The sequence below is a fragment of the Homo sapiens genome, chromosome 2 (genome assembly GCF_000001405.40).
Source record: "Homo sapiens chromosome 2, GRCh38.p14 Primary Assembly".
Classification (NCBI taxonomy): Eukaryota; Metazoa; Chordata; class Mammalia; order Primates; family Hominidae; genus Homo; species Homo sapiens.
The window spans coordinates 231,255,826-231,283,068 of NC_000002.12; the positions used below are offsets into that span (position 1 = coordinate 231,255,826).

At 44.9% G+C, this 27,243-nt stretch overlaps 1 protein-coding gene and 1 pseudogene across 10 annotated transcripts in view; both read left to right on the forward strand.

Moving 5' to 3' along the window:
* The window catches only part of ARMC9 (armadillo repeat containing 9), a 178,218-nt gene that overhangs the window by 57,195 nt on the left and 93,780 nt on the right, over nt 1-27,243 (forward strand). For all 10 annotated transcript variants that reach the window (NR_148040.2, NM_001271466.4, NM_001352754.2 and 7 more), the window contains 8 exons: nt 761-795; nt 3,166-3,277; nt 6,481-6,573; nt 15,157-15,247; nt 17,130-17,253; nt 20,811-20,950; nt 22,557-22,633; nt 26,234-26,308. Coding sequence is in view for 9 of the 10 variants with exons in the window: in NM_001271466.4 (NP_001258395.2) it covers nt 761-795; nt 3,166-3,277; nt 6,481-6,573; nt 15,157-15,247; nt 17,130-17,253; nt 20,811-20,950; nt 22,557-22,633; nt 26,234-26,308 (747 nt within the window). In the remaining variant the exon portion in view is untranslated. The remainder of the gene's footprint in view (nt 1-760; nt 796-3,165; nt 3,278-6,480; nt 6,574-15,156; nt 15,248-17,129; nt 17,254-20,810; nt 20,951-22,556; nt 22,634-26,233; nt 26,309-27,243) is intronic.
* Nucleotides 240-623, forward strand: RPS28P4 (ribosomal protein S28 pseudogene 4; annotated as a pseudogene).

Consider the following 27,243-nt stretch of genomic DNA (forward strand, 5'->3'; position numbering starts at 1 on the left):
AGGAGATTGAGACCATCCTGGCTAACACGGTGAAACCCCGTTTCTACTAAAAATACTAAACAAAATTAGCTGAGCATGGTGGCAGGTGCCTGTAATCCCAGCTACTCAGGAGGCTGAGGCAGGAGAATGGCGTGAACCCGGTAGGCGGAGGTTGCGGTGAGCCAAGATTGCGCCACTGCTCTCCAGCCTGGGTGACAGAGCAAGACTCAGTCTCAAAAAAAACAAAAACAAAAAAACCGCCTCTCCGCCAGACCGCCGCCGCGCCGCCATCATGGACACCAGCCGTGTGCAGCCTATCAAGCTGGCCAGGGTCACCAAGGTCCTGGGCAGGACCGGCTCTCAGGGACAGTGCACGCAGGTGCGCGTGGAATTCATGGACGACACGAGCCGATCCATCATCCGCAATGTAAAAGGCCCCGTGCGCGAGGGCGACGTGCTCACCCTTTTGGAGTCAGAGCGAGAAGCCCGGAGGTTGCGCTGAGCTTGCTTGCTCGCTGGGTCTTGGATGTCGGGTTCGACCACTTGGCCGATGGGAATGGTCTGTCACAGTCTGCTCCTTTTTTTTTGTCCGCCACACGGAATTGAGATGCTCCTTTAAATAAAGCGTTTGTGTTTCAAGTTAAAAAAAAAAACCAAAAAAAAAAACCCAAAAAACCTAACTTGCACATCTGTTGATTCCATGCTATTAGGGTGATTTGGGATCCGTGCATTGCTATCAGTGTTTAACACCATCTGTTTTCTTCTGTCCTCTTCCCCCCAGGCATCCACCATGTTACGAGCCTCCTTGGCACCCGTGTAAGTAACTGCTCTTAGGAATTTTTATTAAGGAGAACAGCAATGTGTAAAACGGGAATTCAAAGTGTCTTTAATAAACACTTAGCAGCCTAGGTTAGAGGAATGCCTTTGAGCTAGAGCTACATGTGAATATTAAAGGAAATACGAGTACTTATAAGTAATGTTGTTAAACTAGAATTATTTTTTATTGCCTGTGTGGTTTTTTTGTTTGTTTGTTTTTTTGAGACAGAGTTTCGCTCTTGTTGCCCAGGCTGGAGTACAGTGGTGCAATCTCAGCTCACCAGAACCTCCGCCTCCTGGGTTCAAGCGATTGTCCTGCCTCAGTCTCCCGATTACAGGCATACGCCACCACGCCCGGCTAATTTTGTATTTTTAATAAAGACGGGTTTTCTCCATGTTGGTCAGGCTGGTCTTGAACACCCAACCGCAAGTGATCCACCCCCTTTGGCCTCCCAGAGTGCTGGGAATATAGGCGTGAGCCACCGCGCCTGGCCATCTTATATTGTTAATTCTATTCTTTTGGTAAGGAAGCCTCAAACAAAAAAACCTGTTGAATTGTTCATATGGTATTGTATAGAAGTGAATCTAATCTGCTATCATAGTGCAATCCACAGAGTGTTGCACTGTCTGAATTTATGTTGTCTGCTGGTTCACACTGTGATCAAGGCCATGGGCAGCCCTGTGTATGCCTGAGCACTCCTGTCCTGATGAGTTGGGCTGTCCCCCTTACGAGTGTCTGATGCTGTGGTGGCAAGGAAGTTGAGAACCTTTGACTTGGGCATGAGGACCAGGGTGGCTTCTGGGACCCTCTGAGCCAGCTTTGCGGGAGAGGAGGGGAAGACGGGTGCTGTGTGATTCCTCACACACCTGAGATGCCCACAGCCTTCCTCCTCCCTCAGCCCTGCCTGAGTCTGACCTTGACCCCACGCTTTATTCTCTCCTACCACTTTGGCAGCAGTATCACTGCACAGACTGCTAGGGTTAAAAGCCCACCCCTGCTACCCTCCCTGTGACTGGGGATTACTTGTTTAATTTCTCTGTGCCTCAGTTTCCTCACTTACAAAATGAGGAGAATCATAGTAATTCTATTATAGGATTATTGTGAGGATCAAAATTAGTTAATACGTATACAACACTTAGCATTTGGCATAATACTGTAGTATTACACCAAAATTAGGAAACTATCATTGATACAGTACTGTGAACTAGACTGCAAACCTCATTTAGTCTCACCAGTTTTTCTATGCCCTCTAATCTTTTCTACAATAAAACAACAATAAAACAAAACGTGAAGACGCTTGTTTTAGCGACAAGGAAGCTGAGGTGATTCCTTTTGTTTCTGGCTGACCGAAGGTGGGTGGCAGGGCAGTCTGAGCTGTGTGGATCTCCAATCCAAGGTCTCTCCTCACTGAAACCTGGCTCCCCAGAGGTCTTTGGAGTCTCCCTGAGGAGGGTCTGCAAATTGTCCTACAACCCATCTCCTGCCTATGTTCCCATGCTGCTTCCTGACCACACCTTCTACCTCCTTGGAGGGCTAAGCCACCCACCTAATTACTCTTTTTTTCTTTTTTTTCTTTTCTTTGAGACGGAGTCTTGCTGTGTCTTGCCTAGACCGGAGTGGTGCGATCTCGGCTCACTGCAGCCTCTGCCTCCTGGGTTCAAGCGATTCTCCTGTCTCAGCCTCCCGAGTAGCTGGGACTACAGGCGCGTGTCACTATGCCCGGCTAATTTTGTGTTTTTAGTAGAGACGGGGTTTCACCATGTTGGCCAGGCTGGTCTCGAACTCCTGACCTTAGGTGATCCACCCGCACAGGCCTCCCAAAGTGCTGGGATTACAGGCCTGAGCCACCACGCCCGGCCCCCGACTGCTTACTCTTCACACTTGTTTCCTGACTGTTGTTCATATTCCCCCGGTCCAGTAGCTCAGGCTTGAGAGGAACAGTGGCTTCAGGTGTTTAGGTAGAACTCTTGGGGCCTGCTGATGCTAATTTTCTTTGAATTATGTCCAAAATTCTAAACAGAACTTCAGTGGAAAGTCATGATGCCCTCAAGGTGATTTCTTCCCTATGCTAGGGAGGTCTGGCTGAAGGTGAATGTAGGGGTTTCTAAATCTGTTCAGGCAAAGACTCCTTGTTTTAGGAAAAATGTTAAACAGAACCTAAGTCCATCCAACAGAATAGGCAGAGCTGAGCTGGTTGAAGCTGAGGTAGGAGCCTAGAACCCAGCCCGCCCTCCAAGTGGAAGCCGGGAGGTCATGCTGGGAGCCCATGGGAACAGCAGGCTCTAGCTTGGGTGTCATAATGCTCAGGAGGTGTAATAAACATGCCCTTTTGCCCTTTTCTTTCTCTTTGAACTTGTGTTGCTGAGTAGGAAATTGAAGGATGTCCCATTACTGCCCTCCTTGGATTATGAGAAACTGAAGAAGGATTTGATTTTGGGGAGTGACCGCTTGAAAGCCTTCTTGTTGCAGGCTCTGCGCTGGGTAGGTACCTTTGTCTTAAAGTTAGAAAACAAAACCAAACCAGTGCTGGTTTTCTTGGCTGGCTACCTTGCTTATATCTTTTAACCCATCTTCCAGAAATCTTTCTTCCCCGCTGTCTGCTGACACCAAGAACGGAAGTCAAAAGCCACTTCTGAAGATAGCCTGGGCCTCCTTTTAGAAACTCCTATATTATGGCAATTGTGATGTAATGAGTTAGATAAATGAATTTCAAGGCCCAAGAGACTGCACCTGTGTGTAGCCCTTTCCTGGTGATGAGCCCCACTCTGCTTGTGTGAGTGCGTGGAGTCAGGGTTACCCACAGTCCCACAGAGGTTCTGTATTCAGCCACTGCCATGCAGCCACGCTGGACAGGCACCAACGAAAGAACTCCTGTTCACAGGGCCTAAGGAAAGTGTCCTGGTCCCCATCGCTACTTTTCTGCCTGGTCTTCAGACTGAGTGCAGTTGAAGTCAACAACTGGTTCTCAAGCTTTTTCGTGTCAGACCCTTTCCACTCTCAACAATGACTGAGGACCTCAGAGAGCTTTCATTTACGTGAATTCTACCTGCCAATATTTACAGCATTTGAAATTAAAACTGAGAGGATTTGGCTGGGCATGGTGGCTCATGCCTGTAATCCCAGCACACTGGCAGGCCGAGGCAGGTGGATCACCTGAGGTCAGGAGTTCAAGACCATCCTGGCCAACATGGCAAAACCCCATCTCTACTAAAAATACAAAAAAAATTAGCCAGGCATGAGGGCAGGCGCCTGTAGTCCCAGCTACTCAGGAGACTGAGGCAGGAGAATTGCTTGAACCTGGGAGGCAGAGGTTGCAGTGAGCCAAGATCACACCACTGCACTCCAGCCTCGGTGACAGAGTGAGACCCCATCTCAAACAAAACAAAACAAAACCCTGAAGATTTGAAATATATGTTTATTAATTCATTTAAAATGAGCAATAATAAATGACATGTTAACATAAATAACATTTTTGCGACAAATACTACTTTCCAAACAACAATAAAATTGTGAGAAGAGCAGCATTGTTCTGCAGTTGTCTTTAATGTCTGGCTTGATGGAAGACAGCTGGATTCTCATATCTGCTTTGTGTTTGATTGTCAGTGTCACACTTCATATAGCCTCCCAGAGATTGATCATAAAAAAGGCATTGTCACATCTTAGTATTATGAAAATTGTGACCTTGCAGACCTGCTAAAGGGTTTGGGGGACCTCTTAGGGTTCCCTGGACCACACTGAGAACTGCTGACTCAAGCCAACAGTGGTTGAGCCAGCAGTTCTTTAACTGAACAGTCCATTCTAATTCATTAGCATCAGACACCTTCATGGACACCCAAATTTCAAGGTGTCTTGGCATCAGGATCCTTAGCAATTTCCCATCTGTGGATAGAAACAGTTCTCACTTGCATGCTTCTATGGTAGTGCTTCCTGAAGTACGTCTTGAGGACTCGGACGACGTATCCAGGATCCACAGGAAGAGTCCTGTGGACAAGCAGTGGTGTCTGCTCTGGTTTTGTTTGGGTCAGGACTAGAGTGGGTGGGGCAGCATGAGTCATCCACGGTGGCCGTTTCCTCCCTGGCCATTGCCTCTCTCTGCTCAAGCTCTCAAACTCATCTTTTATGCGGCTCTTGGTTTACTGACGCTGCACTTCCTCTCAGTCCGTGCTACTCCTGAGCCTCTTGCTGAGACAGGGTATTCCTTTGCTGAGAGGGTGACATCTTCACAGAATAACCAGGAAAAGTGAACAGGTTTCTAATGTTTTTGTCTGTGTCCCCCTCCAGTGCCCCCACCCGGCTTTTTGCCCCTGCTTCAACCTCAGTGAACTCAACGGAAGGGTAGCAGCACCCCAGTGTGACATTCCAGGCACACCCTGGCCATGGTCATCACATCTGTTGGCAGTGCCTGCTCTGGAGGCCTCCCCGGCTCTCCTTCCAGCCCAGGGCGTCTGATGCTCTGGCCTGCGCTCTTGCCCACGCTAAGAACTAGCATATTCCTTGCACATCTAGCTTCTCTTTGGCTAGAAGCAGGGCTTGCAGCCTCAGGATTTTTATCTAGTAGGATTTTCCTGAAAAAGCAAGGATATTTGCTCACTCTGTTACATGCTTTTTCATATCCCACCTCACACCTGTACACACCGATGTGCACACGCACATACCCGTTATACATGCTCTCCACACGAAAATTTTCTTCTAGCCCTGTGGACATTGCGTAAATTTTTACTTGTAGCAACATGACAGACTTATGGCTTTCTAAAATCTACAAAATTCTAGCCAGCTACCTCTACACTCATGCATGCACGCACACACACGTGCACACAAGCGCACATGCACTGTATCACTCTGTCATTCCCAATAGGATAGGATAGAGTGAATTTGTTGGCAGGGCATGCATTCAGAGTGCTCTACAGTCAGCCCTGGGCCCCTCCCACTGAGCCCACTCCACTGTGCCCTGTATTATACTTTCCTGAGCTAGACCTCACTTCCCTATCCCCCACTGTGCTCATGCTCCCCTGTGCTGGTTAATAGGCTGCCCATCCTGCAGGGACCAGCTCCTGAGCCCCTTTATATAAGAAATGCTTCTCTGGGCATGGATGAGCTCTTCCCTATCTGCACACTTACAGTCTGAGCATTTTGCTGCCTCACTTCTCTGGAGAGTTCACATGTATAAGTTGGCTCCCTGTGTCACCCATTAGGACATCACAGGTTCTTTTTTTTTTTTTGAGACCGAGTCTTGCTCTGTCGCCCAGGCTGGAGTGCAGTGGCGCGATCTCGGCTCACTGCAACCTCCGACTCCTGGGTTCACGCCATTCTCCTGCCTCAGCCTCCCGAGTAGCTGGGTCTACAGGCGCCCGCACCACACCCGGCTAATTTTTTTGTATTTTTAGTAGAGACAGGGTTTCACCATGTTAGCCAGGATGGTCTTGATCTCTTGACCTCGTGATCCACCTGCCTCGGCCTCCCAAATTGCTGGGATTACAGGTGTGAGCCACCGTGCCCGGCCCGCATCATAGGTTCTCGTTTTGGTTGGCTGGTTAACTTGCCACCACTCCCCAAGCTGGATATTACTTATTTTGTTTGGTTAAATGTGTAGGTACTGATACTGCCATCTAAAACACACCTGCTATGAGAAACTTTTCTCCATGATAAGACTTAGGTCTCACTACTTTTGTTTTTCTTTGCTCCAGCGCTTGACCACATCCCATCCTGGAGAGCAGAGGGAGACCGTTCTGCAAGCCTACATCAGCAATGACCTCTTGGACTGTTATAGCCACAACCAGGTTGGTAAGAGGTGGGGCCAGATCCCAGCCAGGGCCTTCAATTCTAGGGAATGATCTTAGCAGATGGGGGAAGCTTATAATTTCTCTGCACATTTTCAGCTTCGTAACTGTATGTCAGCCTTGAGCTCATGAGGTTCTGGGCATTGGCTTACTTTTTGCTTCTAGTGAAGAGTTCTAAACAAGTTAGAACTGCCTGATTCATCATCTCTGGAGCTCTTTTCTGCCGTTTTTCCTTTTCTCAAATTCCCTACTCTTTACCTCACCTCACTGCTTACCATGAGTCCTGAAAACTGAGTATGACTTCAGAGGGACAAGGTAGGTAAGCAAATTCAGGTTGTTTACATCTGGGCCTGACTAAAAATTTCTTTAACACAGTACTTTACTTATAGTTTTGGGCCAGATAGGTCTACTGATCCTGTGGGAAAAGTATGAGACTTGGGGTAAAATAAACTGGCTTTCAAACCTCTGCTCTACCACTCATTAGCCAGGTCACCGTAAGCAAGTTACTCAGTCTCAGGCACCTCCTCATCTGGGCAAGGAGCCGCGCCTGCCTCGGGAGGTCGTTGGGATGATTACATACAGTCAGGTGGGGGAAGTCCTTAAGCCCCAGGCCTGGTACCAAGTAGTCACTACATGGTCTTTCTCTTCTGTCCTTGCCCCTCCTACCTGTATCTGCACCAAACTTCACTGGACAGGAGGAGGATCAGGATTTTGAATTTGGCACGTGTTAAGAGTGTACTACATTTTATTATTTCAGTTGAATTTTTATCCAGAGTGCTGTAAAAATGTAAAGCTATTGTTAAACTTCACAACGTGTGCACTGAGTGGAGTATCAAATGCTCTGGACACTCACCGATTAAACAGCTGTCTTAGGCCATTTCCTGCTGCTGTAACAGAATACCACAGATAGGGTAATTTATAAACAATCCAAGGGTATTGTGCTCATAGTTCTGGAGTCTAGGAAGTCCAAGAGCATGGCGCCAGCATCTGGCAAGAGTCATCCCAAAGCAAAAGGCAGAAGGCAGAAGTGAGCGTGCAAGTCAGAGAATGGGGGTCGAAGCTGTCTTTTTATCAGGAGCCTACTCGCACAATAACTAACCCACTCCGGCAATAATGGCATTAATCCATTAATGCCTAATATCCTCTTAAAGGTCCCACCTCCCTGTACTACTACATTGGCAATTAAATGTCGATATGAGTTTTGGTGGGGACATTGAAACCATAGCAACAGACCGTGGGAAAGTGAGTTACACATTCATCTGTTGTGCATACAGGCAATACAATCTGAGTTTTGAGTTGCCAGTTTACTCTGTGAATGTAGTCTTAATGTTCTCATGAATGAGTTAAGTTTGAAAATAGTCTCTCATATTCTTGACTTATTTTCTTGCTTTTTTTTCCTGTTTGGATTTATAATGGCATTGAATCCAGCCTACAAGGCATGAAGCAGCTGAATAATGTATTGTTATAACTTCCAAACTCAAATTAAAGAGTAAAGTCAATACTGATTATTTCTAACATTATTTCATTGAGTCGAAGATACACTTTTTCCCCCCATTTTAACATCTTTGCTATTAGGGTGTATCTGACAGTCAATGGCATTTTACAGTTTAATTGGCAGGGGTTTTTTTCTTTCTTGATTATGTATAAAATGAAAATGTGTCCTCTGATGAAAGGTGTGTTGGGTTTTGTCATCTGTGATTTTTGTCAAAAAGGCAGTGACCTCTATAGCCATTGAAGAGAGTAATTTCTTCCTCAAGTCATTATATGTAGTTGCTATGGTTTACTTATATATATTTTTTGAGATGGAGTCTCTCTTGTCGCCCAGGTTGGAGTGCAGTGGTGCAATCTCAGCTCACTGCAACCTCTACCTCCTGGGTTCAAGCAATTCTCCTGCCTCAGCCTCCCAAGTAGCTGGGATTACAGGCGCCCGCCACCACACCCAGCTAATTTTTTTATTTTTAGTAGAGACGGGATTTCACTGTGTTGGCCAGGCTAGTCTCGAACTCCTGACCTCAAATGATCCACCTACCTCAGCCTCCCAAAGTGCTGGGATTACAGGCGTGAGCCACTGTGCCCAGCTGTGGTTTATTTATTTATTTATTCATTTATTTATTTTGAGATGGGGTTTCACTCTAGTCGCCCAGGCTGGAGTGCAGTGGCACGATCTCGGCTCACTGCGACCTCCACCTCCTGGGTTCGAGCGATTCTCTTGCTTCAGCCTCCCAAGTAGCTGGGATTACAGGCATGCGCCATCACGCCCAGCTAATTTTGTATTTTTAGTAGAGATGGGATTTCTCCATGTTGGTCAGGCTGGTCTCGAACTCCTGACCTCGGGTGATCCGCCCGCCTCAGCCTCCCGAAGTGCTGGGATTACAGGCCTGAGCCACTGTGCCCAGCCTGGTTTATTTTTTTAAGAAGAAATGAGCTGCTGGGCACAGTGGCTCATGCCTATAATTGCAGCACTTTGGTAGGCCGAGGCGGGTGGATCAGGAGGTTAGGAGATCAAGACCAGCCTGGCCAACATGGTGAAACCCTGTCTCTGCTAAAAAATTAGCCAGACGTGGTGGCACGCACCTGTAATCCCAGCTACCCAGGAGGCTGAGGCAGGAGAATCGCTTGAACCCGGGAGACGGAGGTTGCAGTGAGCAGAGATGGCACCACTGCATTCTAGCCTGGCGACAGAGTGAGACTGCGTCTCAAAAAAAAAAAAGAAGAAGAAATGAGCTGAACGCTTGAACCCTTTTACACTGCTGGTGGCAATGTAAATTAGTACAACCACTATGGAAAACAGTACGGAGATTCCTTAAAGAACTCAATGTAGAACTACCATTTGGTCCAACAGTCCCACTAGTGGCCATCCACCCAAAGGAAAAGAAGTCATTATATGAAAAAGACACATGCACACACACGTTTTCAGTTTGCAGTTACAAAGATTTGGAACCAACCTAAGTGCCCATCAACCAAAGAGTGGATAAAGAAAATGTAATATATATACAACATGAGATACCACTCAGCCATAAAAAGGAATGAAATAATGTCTTTTGCTGCAATTTGGATGGAGCTGGAGGCCTTATTCTAAGTGGGGTAACTCAGGAATGGAAAATCAAATATCATATGTTCTCACTTGTAAGTAGGAGCTAAGATATGAGGATGCAAACAAAAATTTTATAATGGACCTTGCACAGGTGACAGTGTTCACTGTATCCACTGGGTGCACTGAAGTCTCAGAAGTCACCACTAAATAACTTATCCCTGTAATTAAGAACCACCTATAACCCAGAAACTTGAAATAAAACTTTTTTTCTAAAAAAAAAAAAGAAGAAATAGGCCAGGTGTGGTGGTTCATGCCTGTAATCCCAGCACTTTGGGAGGCCTGAGGTGGGCAGATCACTTGAGGTCAGGTGTTTGAGACCAGCCTGGCCAACATGGTGAAACCCTGTCTCTACTAAAGATGCAAAAATTAGCCATGTATGGTGGTGTGCACCTGTAATCCCAGCTACTTGGGAAGCTGAGTGCTTGAACCCGGGAGACTGGGGTTGCAGTAAGCTGAGATTGCGCCACTGGACTCTAGCCTGGGCAGCAGACTGAGACGCCATCTAAAAAAAAAAAAAAAAAGAAGAAATGAGTTGAAGTTCTCTTAAGATGTCAGAGAATCTGCAGGGCAGAAAGACTCCTTGTCCAACATGGATGCTGTGTCACTATGGCACCAAGGTAAACTGACCTGTACAGACAGGAAATTGAATTCGTTGGTTCATTCCTCTCCCATAGTGGTTCTCAAAGTTTAACATGCATCGTTATCTCCTGGAGGTCTCATTAAAACAGATCACTGGGTCCCACCAACAGTTTCCATTCAATAGGTCTATGGTGGGGCCCAAGGATTTGCATTTCCAACAAGTTTTCCAGTGATGCTAATACTGCTGGTCCAGGATGCGTTGAGAATTACAGCTTGAGACCAAAAACTTGAATGGAGCCAAATTTAATGAAATTGTAGAGAACTGAATTTTTCATTTTTAGCTGAATTCTTAGTTTCTAGACTTCATAAATATCTCTCTTCATATCTCTAAGCATCTTACCCATTTTTAGGTGTACAGTTCAGTGGTATTAAACACATTCATAATGTGCAACCATCATGTGCCATCCATCTCCATAAATAACTTTTTTCATCTAGTAAAACTGAAACTCTGTACCCATTAAGCAATAATTCTCCATTTCCCCCTACTCCAGGCCCCTGGCAAATTCCCATTCTACTATCTGTCTCTATGATTGTGACTACTCCAAATACCTCATATAAGTAGAATTGTACAGTATTTTTCTTTTTGTGACTGGCTTATTTCACTTAGCTAATGTCCTCAGGTTCATCCACGTAGCATATGTCAGAATTTCTTTCCTTTTTAAGGCTAACATTTCATCATATGGGTGGACCATATTTTGCGTATCTATCTCTTCCTCCGTCAGTAGAAGCTACTGTGGATAGTGCTGCTGTGAAGTGTGCATGCACATCCTGACTGTTGTGTTAATCCGCTCCTTGCTTTTCTTTATAGTTTTCCCATCTATGTATATCCCGCATAATACAGTGTTTGCTTTTGTGCTGAGTAGCAAGCATCAGCCTTGCTCTGCAAGGAAACAGGACTGTGCCCATGTTAGATGAAGTTAGCTAGGAGAAGATGGCATAAACCAAAGTTTGGGATGACAGTTAGACATAGCCTCCCTGAGCACTTATTGATCCCCTCTGGGGACATTGGTAATCAAAAGTGGGAGAGAGTCCTGGGAAACACAGAGCGTCTGGCGGAATTGAAAGGTGGGCCAGGTACCAGTTGTCCAACAGCAATATTTATTTTTTTTTTAATTTTTTGAGACAGTCTCGCTCTGTCACCCAGGCTGGGGTGCAGTGGCGTGATCTCGGCTCACTTCAACCTCCGTCTCCTGGGTTCAAGCAGTTCTCCCGCCTCAGCCTCCTGAGTGGCTGGGACTACAGGTGCGCGTCACCATGCCCAGCTAATTGTTGTATTTTTATTGGAGATGGGGTTTCGCCATGTTGGCCAGGCTGGTCTCAAACTCCTGACCTCAGGTAATCCGCCTGCCTCAGCCTCCCAAAGTGCTGGGATTACAGGTGTGAACCACTGCACCCGGCCCGGCAGCAATATTTATGCCTAAGGGCAATGGTGAGCTGCTGTGTATTTTGGCTTTACGCTCACTTGATCTACTTCTAGTTCTCAGGGGTTGATCACTTGAGAACACTTCTGTGGGAGTAAAAAACTGTTCGCAGCTAATCCACACAGCAGGGCATGGAAGGGGGAGCTAGAACTTCACTAGCACTGTTTAGGGTTATCCAAATGCAGATAAGAGTCTGGGCTCGTTTCACCAGTCATTTTGTGCTCTGTTTAAAAATTGGGACCTCGTGCACTACTTTGGAACACGGGCAGCGTTTACTAAAACTGAATACCTTATGTCCTAGCAAAACCACTCCTAGATAAGCCCCAACCAAAACGTGCCCATATGTTCACTAAAAAACATGCAAGAATATTCATAGCTGCAGTTCTAGAACCAAAACACTGGCTGCAACCCAAATGTCCATCAGCAGTAGAATGAATACCTGTGATGTATTTGTAAAATGGGATACCTTGAGCAATGAGAAGGAACACAGCAGAGACCCTGGGTGAATATCACAGACATATTGTTGAATGAAAAAGTCAAACATAAGAGAATATATAATATATGGTTTCATTTATTAAAAAATTTAAGGAGGAGCCAAGTAACATGAATCTATGATGTTAGAAGCCAGGAGAGAAGTCACCCTTGGTTTGGAATGGGGTTCTGGAAGGGCATCTGGGACTATGGTCATGTTCTGTTTCTTTATCTGGTTACTAGTTAGCCACATGTTCGCTTTGTGAACACTCATCAGGCTGTACATGTGATCTGTGCAATGCCCTGTGTAGATGCTATACTTCAGCAAAAAATCAACCTAAATGGGTGTAATGGTAATAGGCATCTTGGGGACGACAGCCTTTGACATGTTGCCCTCTTGAATTAGCTGGGTTTAGTCTGGAAAACATTCTGGTGCATAGCTGCTGTCCAGGAGTCTCTTCACCAAACTTTTATTGATTCCTTTCACCTCTCTCCTGAATTGGATCTCTGTTTCCAGTGTCCCATATTATCTTATTTCTTGACTTGTTCTCTCGGTTGGTGGAACACATCCTTTAGTTAATAACGTCTAGAGAAAAAGTACACAGGAAGTAAATTTTTTTGAGATCATGTATGGTCAAGAAATGTCTTCATTCTTCGTATAGAATCCTGGATTGTAAATAATTTTCCTTCAGAATTTTGAAGACATTGCTCCATTGTCTTTTAGGTTCCAGTTTTGCTGTACAGAAATCCAAAGCCAGCTGGGCACAGTGGCTCATGCCCATAATTCTAGCACTTTGGGAGGCCAAGGCAGGAGGATCGCTTGAGCCCAGGAGTTTGTGAGCAGCCTGAGCAACATAGACCCCATTCTCTAAGAAAAAAAAAAATTCTTTTAAATTAACCAGGCATGTTGGCGTGCACCTGTAGTCCCAGCTAACTCAGAAGGCTGAGGCGAGAGGATTGCTTGAGCCCAAGAGGTTGAGGCTGTGAGCTGTGATCACACCACTGCACTTCATCCTGGGCAACAAAGTGAGAGCTTGACTCAAAAAATTTAAAAAAAGAAATCCAAAGCCATTCCAATTCTTTATCTTTTGTATGTGACCTGTGTTTCTCTCCCTAGAAGCATATTGAATCTTCCCAATTTCCCATTGACGTCCTTCATGAGGTATATTTTAATCCCTTTTATTGAGCACTTTGTGGGCCCTTTCAGTCTGACAACTTTCATTCTGGTCTTGAGTTATTTTGTTGATGGTTTCTTCCCTCTGTTTTCTGTGTTCTCTCTCTGAATGTTGAACCTCCTGAACTGGTTTTCTATTATAGTTTTCTCTCATCTTTTCTACTTTTTGTTCCACTCTTTAGGAGATTTCTTTTCTTCTTCTTTTTTTTTTTTTTTTTTTTTGAGACAGTCTCACTCTGCTGCCCTGGCATGATCTCAGCTCACTGCAGCCTCTGCCTCCTGGGTTCAAGCAATCCTCCTGCCTCAGCCTCCCGAGTAGCTGGGATTACAGGTGTGTGCCACCACGCCTGGCTAATTTTTGTATTTTTGTAGAGACGGGGTTTCACCATGTTGGCCAGGCTGGTCTCAAACCCCTGACCTCTCTGCCCACCTTGGCCTCCCAAAGTCCTGGGATTATAGGCATGAGCCACCCTGCCCAGCCTCCCTAGCAGATGTCTTCATCTTTATTTTCTGACCCTTCTGTTGACACTTTTATTTCCTTTTTGATAGCATTCTCTTGTTTCATGGATATAATACAGTTTCTTATATCTTTGAGGATATTATTGATGAATTTTTATTTAATTTTTAGTTTTCTTCTCCCTGCACGGTCTCATTTACTCCAAGCCCCGCCCCCACCCTCCCCCCCTATTTGTTTTGGCCTCCTGGTAGAAACTTTTCTCAGATGTCTGCTAGTCCTTGGTGATCTCCTAATGAGAGATTTGGAGTGAAGGGGACCACAAAGCCATTGAGTGTGATGGTGGGGCCTGTCGATGGATAGTTCCACCCAGGGGGATCTGGGTGGGCCGTTTGCTGGGAACCTCTGATTTCACGGTCTCTAATTCTTTCCCCGTGGGCTGGTCATTTCACTGTGAGAATAGTCTTCTAATCTCAGGCCTAGAGGGCAAAGGTCTGGTTGCCAGGGTCCTGGGAGCCAAGTTTTGGGGTGGCCCTCTGTTCCACATTCATTCTGCATTTAGACACTAACCCCCCTCTCCATTTTGTTCTAGAACCCCGGCAAGCCTTGCTCTCCTCTGCCTGGTGTCCCAGATCCACAGACCCTTTGTGTCTCCCTCACAAGGGAACACCCTCTCCCCAGCCCTGTGCTGAGAGGTGTGCAGGAGTCACATGAGTGGGATCCAAGTGCTTCTTGAACAACTTTAATTCATTCGTCTTTATTTTTCTTCAGCTCTTAAGTGCTTTGAGGAGTGAGTAATGGAAATTGGGTAATTCCACAGTGCCCGTTGCTGCCTTGAGATTTGGCCTTCTTGAGCCTGCTAAGCCTCTTGCCATGCTGCAGTCCCACTTCCAGAATTGTGGCGTTATCGTTTCTCGTGCTGTTCTCTCTGTCCTTGGGAATTATCTTTTTTAACAGTCCATTTATTGTAGTTTTACTGTGGCTTAGAGGGAGCCAAATTAGTCATGTGTCTTGGATCTGCCATTCTAACCTGGAAAACAGCCGCAACGGTAACAGCAAACAGGACTGCTTCCCTCGCGCCAGTCACTGTTCTGAGGGCTTCGTGTAATTAATTCATTTAATTTGGAAGTCTGACTAACTTATTTTTGCCAAGTCTCATCAAATTTCAGTTGGAAAACAAGGATTCCAGATGAAATGTTTGGCTTTAGTCTGTTTATTTCACCTCTAATAAATTCAGGCAGAGGAAGAGAACTACCAGACCCGAAGAGGAGGCGTGTGTTTATCTCTCCGTGTTCTTAACCTTGTTTTTCCTCTTGACGTTTTCCCCCAGAGGAGTGTGCTTCAGTTGCTGCACTCCACGAGCGACGTGGTGCGGCAGTACATGGCCAGGCTCATCAATGCTTTTGCGTCACTGGCAGAAGGTGAGACATCAGCTTTGCTTCAAAGATAAGAGCTAGGTCATATTGATGTGCTTTTTCCTTTGAAAATGAGCGTTCCTCCCAAGTTTCTTAGAGATGACGCTTCCTCAGTTTGTTACCGTTTAATTCATCTAAGGTCTTTTGTGAAAATTAATTGTTGTCATATTGCTTTAGTTTATATCAGAGCACATTTGGACAGTTTTTGGGGTTTATTTTGTAAACCTCCCGGTTTTATTTTATAAAGCTTTCTGGTTTTGTAACATAGTAACATTTTATATTGCTTTCAAGTATATCACAGGTAATGAATGCATCTTCTATAATTTTCTACTTAAGGCAAAATAAGTGAAACAATTACGGCAAAATAAGCTTAGCGAAACAAAGCAGACTCCAATAAACACTGCACCATTTCCTTCAGAAGACTATGACCTCTTAAATCAAAGGATTTGAAAACTCTGAAAATAACATGCCCCCATAACTGAATTTAAAATGATTTTGCAAAGTGCCATTATCTTCCGTAAGTTCTTATTTATTTGAGCTCTTTATAATGTGAATAAAGGGAGTTTTCAAATTATGAATATATGATACTCCAAAACTTTGTTCATTTGTTCATTCGTTCTTCCATCCATTTGGCAGACATTTATGATAAGCCAGGATGTGTTACTGAGGACCATTCATATAATAATACTGTTGAAACTTATGTCTGAAATTAACATCTTCCATATCCATTCAGAAGTCCACAACAGGCTAGGGACCATTCTGGGCTTATTACAGGGTCCCAGGTGTGGCTTCCTGCTTCTTCTCCAGGCCTTGTACAGAGAGTGTGTATGGAAGCATTCCTTGGCTGCCTCTGTTGTGAAGACTTAAGGGCTCATAACACACACATTACCCCTCATTTCTCTTTGTAGATCTGACTGTTGGGTTCAGGATTTCATGGAAAAAAAAGGACAATGCTCCCCACAAGAACACAGCAATGAATTATGTTTAGCTCACAAGAAGAGTGGTTTTTCTAGTCACCAGATATTTCATTGAATAAAACCAACGTTTAACGTTTAGAAGAAATATCTTTTAATAAGTTTTAATAAGTTTTGTGGGGGTTTTGTGTGTGTGTGTGTGTTTGGTTTTTTTTTTTTTTTTTTTTTTTGAGAGAGTCTCACTTTGTCAACCAGACTGGAGTACAGTGGCATGATCTCGGCTCACTGTAGCCTCAACCACCTGGGCTCAAGGAATACTCCTCGCGCCTCAGCCCCCCAATTAGCGGGATCAACAGGTGTGCATCATCATACCTGGCTAATGTTCCTTAGTTTTTATAGAGATGAGGTTACGCCCTGTTGCCCAGGCTGGTCTCCAACGCCTCGGCTCAAACAGTCTACCTGCCTCAGCCTCCCAAAGTGCTAGGGTTACAGGCGTGAGCCACCTTGCACAACCAGTAAGTGTTTGTTTGTTTGTTTGTTTGTTTGTTTGTTTTGAGATGGAGTCTCGCTCCGTCATTCAGGCTAGAGTGTGGTGGCACGATCTCAGGCTCACTGCAACCTGCCTCCTGGGGTCTAGCAATTCTCCTGCCTCAGCCTCCCGAGTAGCTGGGATTACAGGCATCTGCCACCACACCCAGCTAATTTTTGTATTTTTAATAGAGACGGGGTTTCACCATGTTGGCCAGGCTGGTCTCAAACTCCTGGCCTCAGGTGATCTGCCTGCCTTGGCTTCCCAAACTGCTAGGATTACAGGCGTGAGCCACCGCGCCCTGCCCAGTAAGTTTTTTAGAACATAAAATTACCCAAACTCTACTGTGTTATATGCAAAGTAAGTTTTCGTGGAAAGTGGTTTTGTAGCATACCAGATAAATTATTTCTGTCTTTCACCTGTTTCATCTCTGGTGTATTATCAGGTCGCCTCTACCTTGCCCAGAACACAAAGGTGCTGCAGATGCTGGAGGGAAGGCTGAAGGAGGAGGACAAGGATATCATCACCAGGGAGAATGTTCTTGGGGCCCTGCAGAAGTTCAGTCTCAGGTAACGACTGTGCAATAGGTCACGGTGTCTCCTGTGAGATCAGATTGAGTTAAAATTCCCATGGCAACCCAGGAGGCAGATGGTATTTTTCCACTACACTTTGGAGAGGTTGGATGACTTTCTAAGACAGAGCTAGAAAGCTTATCTGTAATCCACTAAACTATCCTGCGCAAGGCTGCTGGGGATGGAGGAAGACATTTTCAAAGCATCATTGGATTTTCCTAATGGACATTATCGAGTGCCAGCCATGCAGGATTGTGTCTCAGGGCATGTGCAGGGCTTAGAGACAGACACATGAATCAGACCTGATAGAGCCTCAGCCCTCAAGTTACTTCCAGTCCCCTGTGGGAGCTGCACACATGAATGCACATCCCAGCAGAGTGTCAAGGGCAGTTCTGTGGAAGTCAGGGTTAGGGCCTCCTGACCTTGTCCATGATCCCAGCAGCCCACCCCATGGGATCAGCCTAGACCGTCATGACTTGGAACCAATGGGGCCAGGCTAATTTCTGTATTTCTAGTAGAGACAGGATTTTACCATGTTGGCCAGTCTGGTCTCGAACTCCTGACCTCAGGTGATCCGCCCACCTCAGCCCCCCAAAGTGCTGGAATTACAGGCGTGAGTCACCGCACCCGGCCCCGTAGGTTCCTTTTTAGTTTACAGTTTTGTTGAGATGTATTTACACACCATAATATTCCCCCATATTAAGCATACAATTGAAGGATTTTTAGTGTATTTACAGAGTTGTGCAGTCATCACCACAATCCAGGTTTAGCACATTTCCATCACCACAAAAAGAAACCTCATACCCATTTACAGTCACTCCTCATTCCTACCCCCAGTCCCCGGTAGCCACAAATCTGCTTTCTGTCGATTGACTTGTACTGGACGTTTCATATAAATGGAATCATGTAGTGTGCACTCTTTTGTGACTGGCTTCTCTCACTTAGCATCGCGTTTGCAAGGTTTGTCCATGTAGCAGCATGTGTCAGGGCCTCATTCCTTTTGTGGCTGAATATGTACTCCATTATGGCTACATCATATTGTTTGTTTGTTTTTGAGATGGAGTCTCACTCTGTCACCCAGACTGGAGTGCAGTGGCGCAATCTTGGCTCACTGCAACCTCCGCCTCCCGGGTTCAACCAATTCTCCTGCCTCAAACTCCTGGGTAGCTGGGATTACAGGCGCACACCACCACACCCGGCTAATTTTTGTATTTTTAGTAGAGATGGGGTTTCACCATGCTGGTGAGTCTGGTCTCGAACTCCTAACCTTGTGATCCACCCGCCTCGGCCTCCCAAAGTGCTGGGATTACAGGTGTGAGCCACCGCGCCCGGCCTACACCACATTTTGTTTGTCCTTCAGTTGATTGGCATTTGAGTTGTTTGCATTTTTGGCCAATATGCATAATGCTGCCATGAATGCTTCAGCACAAGTCTTCGTGTGGACATATGTTTCTTTTTCTCGTGGATCGGCATCTAGGAGAGGAACTGTTGGGACATATGGTAATTTTTTCAGAGTTTTTATTCTCTCATGATCACCTCAAGTTCTCTTTGACTTTCTTGAGAACTCTAGTCCCTGGAGTCTTCAACTTTTTTCTGTCGGTCCTCTTCTGAACACACTTTCTTCCCATCAAATGTGGTTTACATTTGACTGACTCACAAATAACCAGAAGCCTACAAAGTGAAATGGTCTAAGCATGTGTGTTTTTAGTGGGGGAAGGGATAGGTATTTGTATCTACCATTTGCCAGCTCCCTGCCAATGAAAATTCTTTGTTCTAACTATATGAATCGAAAAGAACTGTAAGTGCTGCAGAGTCATTACTTCCTCAGAGCATACAAACACTTCATTTCTTTTTGTTTATAGAGAGAACTTTGCTCCATGTTGATCGCTTTGGGGAAGTTTTTAGAAATTCAATAACTATAGTTAAGTAACAGATACAAGATATGGTGAAAAAAATACTTCCTCCTGGTAATGCAAATGTTTACTGCCTGTTTATCTTTTCCTCTAAGTGTTAATTTAAGCTTTTTTGTTCTGTAAATGTGCTTAACCTTTTTGCAGTTTTCCAGAGTCTCTGCAATAAATGAAGAAGGTAGCTAGTTACCAAGAGAGCGCAGTCTTCACTGTATTCTAATAAGCCACCCTGATTGGGTCAGTGTAGTGTTTAAGAACAGGATGAACGGATAACTGGTTCTGCTGTTCTGTCCTGAGTGGTGGTTTCACCATAACCTGCGCATCCGGAGATGTGCAGAGCTGGCTTCTCTGTGGCATGTCAGTTTTCTACTAATCCAGATGGCATCTCATAATGATACCACACTTAGTCTCAGCAATTCTTAAAGCTAACCTGATGACATTCACCATCACACATTTTGATGGGGTATTGGATTTTGTAAGATTCTACACCTGGACTTTGGGTGGAAAATCATTCCTTATAATTTGCATTAACCAGGTCATTAAACTACCCTTACTCTATAGAAATGTGAATCAAAGTGATGTTAAGCTAGGCTTTTGCTCCTCCTTGTTTTCTTTATTTTTATACAGCTCAGAGTGCCTAGAGCTGGATTATAGAGCGTTTAGGTAAAAATCTATTTGTCAGCTGGGCACGGTGGCTCACGCCTGTAATCCCAGCACTTTGGAAGGTTGAGGCAGGCAGATCAGCTGAGGTTGGGAGTTCGAGACCAGCCTGGCCAACATGAAGAAACCCTAGCTCTACTAAAAATACAAAATTAGCTGGGTGTGGTGGCGCATGCCTGTAATCCCAGCTACTTGGGAGGCTGAGGCAAGAGAATCACTTGAACCCAGGAGGCGGAGGTTGCGGTGAGCCGAGATCGTGCCATTGCACTCCAGCCTGGGCAATAAGAGCAAAACTCCGTCTCAGGAAAAAAAAACAAAAAACCTATTTGTCAAAGAAGTATTTCTATGGTCCTGTTTCCTGGGTTAAGTAAACCAAAAGCTACAAATAAATATTTATTAGATATTTGAAGCAATGCTCTGCTAATTTTAAATATTGAAAAGGAAACTTTCAAAGTAGGAGGCCTCCTTACCACCTTATCTTTATTTAAACCCTTAATAAATATCCCTGAAATGTAAAGAATTTTTGTTATTTCAATTGTATGGGTTTAACAAAAATATTCCTCAGAGTCTATGTCTTCTGTAAGTTTGTCTTTTCTGATATGCATTCACATTACTGTTTCTTCTTTTTTTTTTTTTTGAGACAGAGTCTTGCTCCATCGCCCAGGCTGGAGTGCAGTGGTACGATCTCGGCTCACTGCAACCTCTGCCTCCCGGGTTCAAGCAATTCTCGTGCCTCAGCCTCCCAAGTAGCTGGGATTACAGGCGCCGTCACCACGCCTGGCTAATTTTTGTATTTTTAGTAGAGACGGGGTTTCACCATGTTGGCCAGGCTTGTCTCCAACTCCTGACCTCAGGTGATCCGTCCGCCTTGGCCTCCCAAAGTGCTGGGATTACAGGCATGAGCCACTGCTTCCAGCCTACTGTTTCCTCTTATATGAAAAGTTTCTTGGCAGTTTGTATTTACCGTAGGCTCTTTCTTCCCAGGCGCCCGCTGCAGACAGCGATGATTCAAGACGGCCTCATCTTCTGGCTGGTTGATGTTCTGAAGGACCCTGACTGCCTGTCTGACTACACGCTGGAGTACTCGGTGGCTTTGCTCATGAACCTCTGCCTCCGCAGCACAGGTCTCAGCCCCGACCCTCATTCTAGTGCAAGAAGGGGAAGAGATCTTGACTCTTGAAGCTGGGTTTCTAGTGAGCCTGATATGGTTTGCTTTTAGTCTCATAGAAAACTAAAAACAGAAAAAGGAGTAGAAAGCATTTCCAACTAGGTATCAAGCTGTTGAATCCCTGAAGGCAAAATCCATTCTTGCCCTGGAAAAAATGTCTTGTATATATGTAGTGCCTGCATTAAGAGGAGACTAAGTTCATTTACCTTTTTCTTTATTGCATTATTCAGAGGTAGGAAATTAAGAATATGATCCCCTTTTCTGAAGACAAAGAAGTGTGTTCCCAAGATACTATAGGATTAAGCTGGCCGCAGTAGCAGTGACACTAAACCACACTTCCTGCCCTGAATCACACTCTTTTCCCTGCCCCAGCCCTGGAGGTGGAGGTTCTCCTGTGGGCACAAGTCATTTATATACTTGATCAGTCATTTATATACTTGATCGCTGAAGGTAGTGATTTGAGCTTTTCCAGGTACAGGTACTATCTCATTTAAATTGTTACCTGGGATGAAAGAAGCTTCTTTAGAAGAGGTGCCACCTCCAGGCTGTGGCTTTCCCCAGCCTGAGCATCCAGTGTTAGGAGAGAAAGGCTCCCTGGGTAAACAGCTGGCTCAGGAGGACTTGTTGGAGCATCTTCCCCTCTATATACTTTGTAGACTGAACCATGTAACTGTGTGTTGTTGACTGAGTAAATGACTGTTATTTCAGTCATTTAAAAAAATAGCATGCAAAAAGTCCTAGCCTTTTTTTTTTTTTTTTGAGATGAAGTCACGCTCCATTGCCCAGGCTAGAGGCAGTGGCATGATCTTGGCTCAGTGGTGCAACCTCTGCCTCCCGGGTTCAAGCGATTCTCCTGCCTCAGCCTCCCGAGTAGCTGGGATTACAGGTGCCCACCACCACACCTGGCGAATTTTTGTATTTTTAGTAGGGAGGGGGTTTTACCATGTTGGCAAGGCTGATCTTGAACTCCTAACTTCAAGTGATCCACCCACTTCGCCCTCCCAAAGTGCTGGGATTACAGGCGTAAAGCACCGCACCCAGCCAAAAGTCCTAACTTCTAATATGTTTATCAGATTAGAATTAGCTTTTCTTCATCATCATCACCATATTTGCAGTGATTTTTATGATGATGTTTATAACTACTAAAATGCCTATATGGTCTTCCTGATGGTGGTGTCCGTGCGTGGGAGGGAGAACGTTGCTCTATAATGTATTGTGCTTTCACTGTAATGACTCGCTCTGTGCTCTGACCGGAGTAATAGCCACCACTTGGGATGGTTTACTGAGCACCGAGGTTCTATGCTACACTGAGTCCTTTACATACATTAGTCTACTTAATTTTGCATCACCTTTTGAGGTAGGTATGAATAGTAATCCCTGTAGTAAAGAAGAGGAAACTGAGGCCCAGATTGGTTACATGACTCACCCGAGGTCATACAGCTCACCCGAGGTCATACAGCTCATGAGCAGAGGAGCCAAGATTTGTCTCCAAGTCTACCTGACCTAAAATTGTGCTTCTGGGTTTAGACATGTCATGTTTAGCTTTGATTTGTTTCCCATAGGGAAGAACATGTGTGCCAAGGTGGCAGGCCTCGTGCTCAAAGTCCTTTCGGATCTTCTTGGCCATGAAAACCATGAGGTACTCATTCAGCACTGCTGGCCCTGGGCTCGGGGAGGCTACACTGGGGACCCAATGCCTGTGACCCCACAGGCACACAGCTGGCCCAGGATGGTTGCTGTATTTGAAAACTGTACATGTTCTCTGTCCTTCTGGGATTTTCATAAGCAACTGGAAATCTTTTATAATTTTTAGAATTTTGGAAGTCAGAAGCAGGATGTTCTTTCCGTCCCTGTCTGCTTGGCCCACTGGCCTGTGCCGGGCCCCTCCGGCATTGCTGTTTCTCATCATCTAGCCCCCAACATTCCTCCCCCACATGCCATTCCCTTGGTATGTTTAATGTATCTCTGTGGATGTGGATGGAGCCTTAAAAGAGATATGATACTGTGTATGTGTGTATTGAATTTACAGAAATAGATTGCCCTTTAAGTCTCATTCTGTTTATGGCTTTTCCCTTGTGTTTTTAGGACCTTTCTATGTTGCTTTACATATGTCTAGTTCATTAAGTGTCACTACTGCAAAATAGCCCCTTGTTTGTGCCCCTGACATTTTACTTATCCAGCCTGTACACTTCGAGTGCCATCCACTCTCTGTTGCCACAGCAGTCCTCAGTGGGCATGGCTGCACCTGCCCCATGGGAGCCTGTGCCAGAGCTTCCAGGGATGTGTAGACACTCATCACTACTGGCTGCCAGCATACATCAGTTTCAGGTCACTGAGTCCTGCCAAATTGTCCTCCAGAATGGCTATACTAGCGTTTGCTCTCACCAGTGTTGCCCCAACACCTGGTGTTATTTTCTAAGTTTTTAACCTATGGGCCCCAAGCACTTTTTAAATAAAGTAGAGGTATGTATGGGTAAACAAATTAACAAAAACAAATAATCAAATATGATTATTCTCTCACTTGCCTTCTACAAGTGCCATTGCAGAAACCACGGCAAAGCTTCAACAAAAATCTAACCACTTTAGACAGATGAGACCCAGGGGTATATCTGAGCAGGATACGATTGAGTACCACTTGGTTTCCACACATCTGTTCCCATTTCTTTCTTTCTTTTCTTTTTTTTCTTTTTTCTTTTTTTTTTTTTTTTTGAGACAGAGTCTCACTCTATCATCCAGGCTGGAGTGCAGTGGTGTGATCTTGGCTCACTGCAACCTCCACCTCCCGGGTTCAAGCGATTCTCCTGCCTCAGCCTCCCAAGTAGCTGGGATTACAGGTGCCCGCCACTACGTCTGGCTAATTTTTTGTATTTTTAGTAGAGACGGTGTTTCACCATGTTGGCCAGGCTGGTCTTGAACTCCTGACCTTGTGATTCACCCACCTCGGCCTCCCAAAATGCTGGGATTACAAGCCTGAGCCACCATGCCTGGCCCGTCTGTTCCCATTTCAAGCAGACAGCTCCCATTCTGGTCATTCCATTCACATTTTACACCAGCCCTATCCACTGATTGGTGTGACTTCTTTAGCAAGTGGATGTTTGGTGTCTTTGTGACATTCATTTTATATTTTAAAGCTAGTGAGCTCTGAACTACTTCCAGGCCTGAATGAACTCTGTTCCTCACTTTATTCAACTCAGGCAGGTGAAACCAGTGGGAAACATATTCTTCCATCTCATAATAAAGGTTGGTTTCAAGTACTGGAACCAATATGTCTGCTCTGAAAACTTAATAGACCAAAGGATTCATCATATCATTACCTGCTACCAATGCATTGGCTTTGAAAATGAGCTGGATGGGCCGGGCACGGTGGCTTACGCCTGTAATCCCAGCAATTTTGGGAGACCGAGGCAGGAGGATCACTTGAAGTCAGGAGTTCGAGACCAGCCTGGCCAACATGGTGAAACCCCTTCTCTCCCACTGAAAATACAAAAATTAGCCAGGCATGGTGGCTTGTGCCTGTAATCCTAGCTACTCAGGAGGCTGAGGCATGAGAATCACTTGAACCTGGGAGGTGGAGGTTGTAGTGAGCTGAGATTGTGCCGTTGCACTCCAGCATGGGTGACAGAGCGAGACTCTGTCTCAAAAAAATAAATAAATAAAGTAAGAAAAAGAAAATGAGCTTGAAAAATGACATATATATATACATATATACATACATACATACATATATACTTTAGAGCCAAGTAATATGTTTGCTACACTGTAGTAGTCATGATCTTGAAAGACAAAACCAAAATAAAGAAAAAGATGCACATAACTGACTATATGAACATTACATTTTTTGATTGGAAAAAGATGCCATAATCAAAGTCAAAAGATGAATGAAACCCCGAGGAAAAGTTGCATCACATGTGACAAAAGTTTAATATTCCTAATAGATGAAGAGCTGGTATAAATTGGTAAGTAAAAGTCAAGCAATCCAATCGAAAAGAAGGATAAAGGATATGACTAGACAGTTCACAGAATCGTGCTGCCCCAGAAACATGAAAAGATGTTCAGTCGTGCTAGTTCAATCGGGAACTGAAAATAAAAACAACCGTAGGATGCCTTTTTTTACCCATCAGCTTGGCAAGCATTGAAAGTGCTAATGAAGTCCAGTGCCGAAGGAGGGCGGTGGGAAACGAGCCCTCCTCCATTGCTGTGGCAGGCACAGCGTACAGCCTGCTGAAAAGGGAACTTGCTTATCAGCACCTGCCATGCTCCATGTCCCATGTGTGCAAGTAAAACATGGGTCCTGTCTTCAAAAAGCTCATAATAAAGGGGACATAGTGTGAATTTAAAAGGATACTGCCTCCAGTGCTGTAGTGGAGGGATGTACAAGAAGCGGAAGTGAGTGGCCTGTATGGGGGCAGTGGGGCGGGGGTGGGTTCAGGAGAGCCTTCCCAGGAGACATGTCTGGGCTTAGTTTTCAAGGTTCATTGTATGTGTGAAGACCATTCCTGGCAAGGTGAACTGCCAGAACCTGGCTGAGACATGGAACAGCCTGGTGGGGGGCATCCCTTAGGTAGTATGGACACTTTGTGGTGGCAGGGAGGAAGAAGCAGAGGTCATGAGATAGAGGCCACCCCTTGAAGATCCTGTGTGCCACACCAAGGAGTTCCACCTTTCCAACTGGGCTCTATGGAAGGTTTCGGAGATGGAGAGAGGGATGATTTGGCCCACGCTATAGAATGTTGGTAGTGATCGATGGTTACATTAAAGGGTGAATATTGAGGGTAGAGAGACTGGTTTGGAGATTTGATGTAGCCTGGTTCATGGACGATGATGTCTGAACAAGGACAGTAGCAGTGGATATGGAAAAAGAGGGGTTCCTATCGAAGAGGCTTGAAGACAGTATTGGAGACTGAACAACAACAACAACAAAATCAACGATGACTCCAGAGTTTCTAGCCTGAGTGATTAGGAAGTTAAAGGTAACTTTAATTAAGCAATGAAATGCGCAGGAGTAAGCTTTGGGAGGGAGTGACGAATTTGGTTTTAGACTCAGTGGTAGCTGTCACCTGGGCATGCAGATGGAGATGTCTGTCACTTGGAAACATACATCCTGGAGCACAGGAGAGCTGCGAGGACGGGAACACCCACTCTCCCCATTTGCCAGATTGTTCTGAGGTGTGGTGTTTGATATAGAGTTGTGCAGTATTTGAAAACTTGCAAATAACTGGTTTTTTTCCTCCCCTTAAAGATACAGCCGTATGTGAATGGAGCTCTGTACAGCATCCTTTCTGTTCCATCCATTCGTGAGGAAGCAAGAGCAATGGTAAGAAAGCGTGCCTGAGAAACATGTGAGCTTCCTTTAGTGCCACAGTTCAGAGCTTTTAGAGCAAGACCTCCTTGATTGGGCTCCATAGAAAGGCTCAGATCCGTTCCAAACTCCTTGAAATTGTATGTAAAATGTATATTTGCCATTTCCTGGGGAGAGAGTCTGTAGCTTTTATCAGATCCTCAAGGGGATCCCTAACTCCTAAATGGTTAAAAATTAAAGTGTTAGAAAGTTCCCAGCAGGCTGACTTTTGCAAAGTTATAGACATTCTGATGGCAACCAAATGGAAAAGATTATAAAACTGTCTAGGACTTGGTTTGGTTGGTAAATAGTAAACTCAGTGTTTAATGTGTACGTTAACGCTTGTATGTGAAGTAAAAAGCAAACCTCAGGTGATTAGTATATTATTTTGAAAGGACAAGTGTTTCTAGATCTAATCAGGAAAACAACTAGAGTTTTGTCTTTTTTCTTTCTACCATGTGAAACCAGATTAACAGTGTATTAAATGCTGTGGTGAAAGGATTAAATATATTTCCACCTTCAAAACACAGGCAAAATTCTCATTGAGACCAACAAAACATTCTTCTAATTGGTTTTGCTTACTTAAAGAATTGCTAAATCTTCTCATTGATCATTTAAAATTACATCAACAGTTACACCAGAGACCAAACTTATTTAAGAACCATTCTATGTGATCACACTAAACAGTGGACCTTAATTGCCTACTGCTTTTAAATTTCACTACAGAACAGGGGAAAATAAACTTGCTTAAATTCTGCGTTATGGTCATTTAGGTGAAAGAAAGGGGTTGTCAACCAAGGCAAAGAAGAGGAAAAAACATGTAGGCTGAAGAGAAAGAATGGAGGTAACATTCAGTCAAAGTGTGAGATGCAGCATGGAGGAAAGGCACCAGGGCAAAGGGATGGAGGGGG